The sequence below is a fragment of the Homo sapiens genome, chromosome 6 (assembly GCF_000001405.40).
Source record: "Homo sapiens chromosome 6, GRCh38.p14 Primary Assembly".
Classification (NCBI taxonomy): Eukaryota; Metazoa; Chordata; class Mammalia; order Primates; family Hominidae; genus Homo; species Homo sapiens.
This window is the reverse complement of record NC_000006.12, coordinates 149,123,620-149,129,619: the sequence shown is the minus strand read 5'-3', so window position 1 is coordinate 149,129,619 and position 6,000 is coordinate 149,123,620.

Below are 6,000 nucleotides of genomic sequence, written 5' to 3'. Positions count from 1 at the left end.
CAATCTCCTGTCATGTTTTTTTCGACCATTGCTCTACCTCCTTTTTTCTGGTATGGTCAAGGATAGGAAAGGGGTTGTGATGGTTAATACTGAGTGTCAACTTGATTGGATTGAAGGATACAAAGTATTGGTCCTGGGCATGTCTGTGAGAGTGTTGCTAAGAGATTAACGTTTGAGTCAGTGAGCTGGGGAAGGCAGATCAACCCTTAATCTTGTGGGCTCAATCTAATCAGCTGCCAGCGAATATAAAGCAGGAAGAAAAACGTGAAAAGGAGAGACGGGCCTAGCCTCCCAGCCTACATCTTTCTCCTGTGCTGGATGCTCCTTGCCCTCGAACATCGAACTCCAAGTTCTTCAGTTCTGGGACTCTGACTGGCTCTCCCTGTCAGCTTGCAGACAGCCTATTGTGGGACCTTGTGATCATGTAAGTTAATACTTAGTAAACTCCCCTTTATATCTATCTGTGTATCTACCTATGTATCTATGTATGTATGTGTCTATTATCTATCTATCTATCTATCTATCTATCTATCTATCTATCTATCTATCATCTATCTATCATCTATCTATCTGTCCTATAGGTTCTGTCCCTCTAGAGAACCCTGACTAATACAGAGGCAGAGCTGGGTCATGCCAGTGGCCTTATCACAGGGTGAGGAGGGAGCATTTCCTTAGATGCTGGGGCCCACATCCCAGAAGTAGGGTCTGTGTACCGTGGCTGCTCAGTCACTCTTTGTGTCCTTCCCGGGCTCCTGATGCCCCACCACTGGTGGGTTGCCCTCCCTCCCCAGTGCTCTGGGCAGGAAGAAATGGAGCTACTCTCCATGCTCATCTGCATCTCAGCTGTCTGTTGACGACACCACAAAACTGTCAAAAGATGAGGAGAGTCCTTTCTGGTCTTGATATGTGTTTGTGCCACACTTCACCACACTTCCTGCCTTTCTGGGAATCAGGAACACAGGGTTCAGCAAAGCGGGACCCTTATCAGCTCTTCCCCCATTGCCTGTTTACAAGAAGAAGCCAACACACAGCTGGAGGACCTCCTGTGGGTGGGGCTTGAACACCACCAAGAGCTGTGCTCCCTTTCTCACTCAAGGCTCAATTGCTGGTGAGCAGCAAGTTTGCGTTGGCAAAACAAATTCACTCTGCTGACCTTGTTTTACTCCTTTCTCTTCCCCATTGGATTATTACAAACAAAATGCTAAGAAAGACTGTGCTTATAAAATGCACCTGGATCACGAATAGTGTGCTGAACCAGAGTCTCATTTGAGAATTTTCTCCTTCTACTGTTTATATGACCTTTTTCTCTTTCATGTGTGTGTTTTTAATTAAACCTTTTATTTTTAAATAACCATAGATTCACATGCAGTTATAAAAAAATAAAGAGAGATCTCCTGTACCCTTTACCCAGTTTACCCCAATATTAACATTCTATAAAACAGTAGTACAGTATCACAACCAGGATATTGATATTGATATAGTCAACGTACAGAACAATTCCATCATTGCCAGGACCCCTCGTGTTGGTCTTTTATAGCCACATCTATTTCCCTCTCTTCTTAACCACTGCCACCCACTAATCTGTTCCCCATTTCTATAATTTTGTCATTTAAATAATGTTATGTATGGAATTAAATGTGGGATTAGCTTTTTTACTGAGCATAATTCTCTAGAGACTATGTGTATCAATAGCTAAATTCTTTTTATTACTGAGGAGTATTCCTTGGTAAGAATGTACCAAAGTTTGTTTAACCATTCACTCATTGAAAGACATCTAGGTTGGCTGGGTGTGGTGGCTCACATCTGTAATCCCAGCACTTTGGGAGGCTGAGGAGGGCGGATCACGAGGTCAGGAGTTAGAGACCATCCTGGTTAACACAGTGAAACCCCGTCTCTACTAAAAATACGAAAATTAGCCGGGTGTGGTGGTGGGTGCCTGTAGTCCCAGCTACTTGGGAGGTTGAGGCAGAAGAATGGCTTGAACTCAGGAGGCAGAGCTTGCAGTGAGTCGAGATAGCACCAGTGCACTCCAGTCTGGGCAACAGAGCAAGACTCCTTCCCCCACAAAAAAGAAAGACATCTAGGTTGTTTTTAGTTTTTGACTATTAGTAAGAAATCAGATATAAAAATTTGTGCTCAGGTATTGGTATGAATGTAAGTTTTATTTCTCTGGGATAAATGCCCAGGAATGTAATTGCTGAGTCATATGGTAGTTGCAAGTTTATTTTTTTAAGAAACTGCCAACTGTTTTACAAAGTGGCTATACCATTTTACATTCCCACCAGCAATGCATGAATGATGCAGTTTCTCTGCATCCTGGTTATCCTGATAGATTGTAGTAATATCTCATTGTGCTTTTAATTTACATTTCCCTGATAGCTAAAGATGTTGAATATCTTTTTGTTTAACTTCATTGTCATCTGAATACACTCTTCTGTGAAATGCCCCTTATGTCTTTTCCCCATTTTTCAACCAGGACTGTTGAGTTTTTTTACTGATAAGTTTTGAGAGTTCTTTATATATTCTAGATACTAATCCTTTGTTGGATATGTGGTTTGCAAATATTTACTCCCAATCTGTGGTTTGTCTCTTTAACCTCTTAACAGTGTTTTTTGCAAAACAAAAACTTTTAATTTTGATGAAGGCAAATTTATCAATTTTTCTTTTATGGATCATGATTATGGTATCAAGCTTAAGAAGTCTTTGCCTAGCTCTAAATCATGAAAATTTGATTATATTTCCCCCTAAACATCTTATAGTTTTACATTTAAGCCTGTGGCCCATTTTGAATTAATTTTTGGAGAAGGCGTGAGACAGAGGTCTAGGTTCATTTTTTTTGCCTGTGGATGTCCAATTGCTCTAACACCATTTATTGAAAATGACTCTTTACTCTGCTGGACTGCATGTTCATCATTGTCAAAAGTCGATTGGGCATATTTGTCTGAGTTGAGTTCTTCCTTTTTTTTTTTTCTGGAGATGGGGTTTCACAACGTTGCCAAGGTTGAAGTACAATGGCTATTCACAGGTGCAATCGTAGTGCACCCCACCCTCAAACTCCTGGCCTCAAGCGATCCTCCTGTCTCAGCCTCCTGAGGAGCTGGGACTATAGGCACTAGCTATTGTGTCTGGCTTGTGTGAGTCCAGTTTTAGGTTCTCTATTCTGTTTCATTGATCAATGTGTCCATTCCTCTGCCAATACCATACAGTATTGATTACTTATATAATATTCCTTATTTCAGAAGTAACATTTAACATTACATATTATGTAATGGCTCAAAATTAGATAGATTTCTCCCACTATTCTTTTTTTTCAATTTTTTAAGCTAGTCTAGTTCCTTTGCTTTGTCATATATATTTTAGAACAATATTTTGTCTCTCTTGCAAGGACTTTGATAGAAATTGCATTCAAACTTTATGCTAATTTGGGGAGAATTGATATCATTATGTTGAGTCTTCTAATCTGTGCATATACGTCTATTTATATAGATCCTCTTTAATTTCTCTGATCAGCATTGTGCATTTTTCAGCATATGGATCACATATATAGTTTTCCAGATTTACACCTAAGTATTTAATTTTTAAAGTAATCATAAATAGTATTATATGTGTTTCAATTTTCTTTGTTAAAAATAAATTTAATTGTGTATATTTGAGATTTACAACATGATGTTATGAGACAGATATAGATAGTAAAATCATCATCTGTGAGATGATAAATACGTAAATTTGTTTTACTATAGCAAATATTTTACTATCTATGGTAACATAGTTGTGTTACTATAGATAACAAGAGCAGCTACAATCTACTTATTTAACAAAAATTCTCAATACCATATGATTTTATTAACTATAGTTCTCCCGTACATTAGATCTCTCGTCCTGTTCATCCTATGTATCTGCTACTTTGTGACTTGACCCCATCTCTCCATTTCCTCCCTTCCCCTGTCCCTCACTCTAGTAACCACTGTTTTATTCTATATCTCTGTATATTTAGACATTTTTTAAAAAGGATTCCACATATAAGTGGGATCATCCAACATTTTTCTTTCTGTGTCTGGTTTATCTCAGCATGATATCCTTTAGGTCCATTCATGTTGTGGCAAATGGTAGGATCTCCTTTTTTAAGGCTGAATAATATTCCATTGTGTGTGTGTGTGGATACATACAGCAACACTACATTTTCTTTTTTTCTTTATCCATTCATTTATTGACAGAGACTTGGGTTGTTTTCATATCTTGGCTATTGTGAATGATGCTGCAGTGAACATTGGAGCAGATATTTTTATGAGGTAGTGATTTTATCTCCTTCGGGTATATACCAGAAAAGTGGAACTTCTAGGCCATGCAGTAGTTTTAATTTTTAATGTCTTTAGGAACCCCCACACAGGCATACCTTGGAGATATTGTGGGTTGAGTTCCAGACCACCACAATGAAGCAAATATTGCAATAAAGTGAGTCACACCTTTTTTTTGTTCTCCATTAAAAATAAAAGTTATGTTTATATTGCACTGTAGTCTATTAGGTGTGTAATAGCATTTTGTCTAAAAACACAATGTACATACTTTAATTAAAAAATATTTTATTACTAAAACATGCCAATGATTATCTGAACCTTCAGTGAGTCATGATCTTTTTGCTGGTGGAGGGTCTTGCCTTGATGTTGACTATTGACTAATCAGAGTGGTGGTTGCTGAAAATTGGGGAGGCTATGGCCATTTCTAAAAATACAACAACAATGAATTTGCCACATCAATAAACTCTTCCTTTCATGACGGATTTCTCTGTAGTGTGCAATGCTGTTTGATAGGATTTTTACCTGTAGTAGAATTTGTTTCAAAATTGGAGTCAATCCTCTCAAATCTTGCTGCTGCTTTATCAACTGGGTTTATGTAATCTTCTAAATCCTTTGTTGTCATCTCAACAATGTTCACAGCATCTTCAGCAGGCTTAGATTTCATCTAAAGAAACCATTTTAGTTGCCCATCCTTAAAAAGCAAACTCCTCATCAATTCAATTTTTATCATGAGATTTTGGCAATTCAGTCCCATCTTCAGGCTCCACTTTTAATTCTAGTTCTCTTGCTATTTCCACCACATCTGCGGTTACGTCCTCAAATAAAGTCTTGGACCCTTCAAAGACATCCATGAGGGCTGGAATCAATTCTTCCAAACTCCTGTGAATGTTGATATTTTGACCTCCTCTCTTCAATCATGAATGTTCTCAATGGCATCTAGAATGGTGAATCCTTTCCAGAAGCCTTACAATTTGCTTTGCCCAGATCCATCAGGGGAATAACGATCTATGGCAGCTATAGTGTTACAAAATGTATGCTTAAATAACAGAACTTGAAAGGCTAAATTACTCCTTGATCCATGGGCTGCAGAATGGATCTTGTGTTAGCAGGCATTCATCTCCTTGTACATCTCCATCAGAGGTCTTCATGACCAAGTGCATTGTCAATGAGCAATAATCTTTTGGAGGGAATATTTTTTATCTGGGCAGTAGATCTCAACAGTGGGCTTGAAATACTCAGCAAACCATGCTATAAACAGATGTGCTGTCATCCAGGCTTTGTTTTTCCACTTATAGAACACAGGGAGAGTAGATTTAGCATAATTCTTAAGGGCCCTAGGATTTTCAGAATGGTCAATGAGCATTGGCTTCAACTTAAAGTCACCAGCTGCATTAGCCCTTAACAAGAAAGTCAGCCTGTCCTTTGAAGCTTTAAAGCCAGGCATTGACTTCTCTTCTTTAGAAATGAAAGTCCTAGAAGGTATCTTTTTCCAACTTAATGTTGTTTTGTCTACACCGAAAACCTGTTGTTTTGTGTAGCCATGTTCATCAATTAGCTAGATCTTCTAGATATCTTGGTACAGCTTCTATATCAGCACTTGCAGTTTCATATTGTATTTTTATGTTACGGAGATGGTTTCTTTCTTTAAACTTCATAAGCCAACCTCAGCTAGCTTCCAACTTTTCTTCTACAACTTCCTCATCTC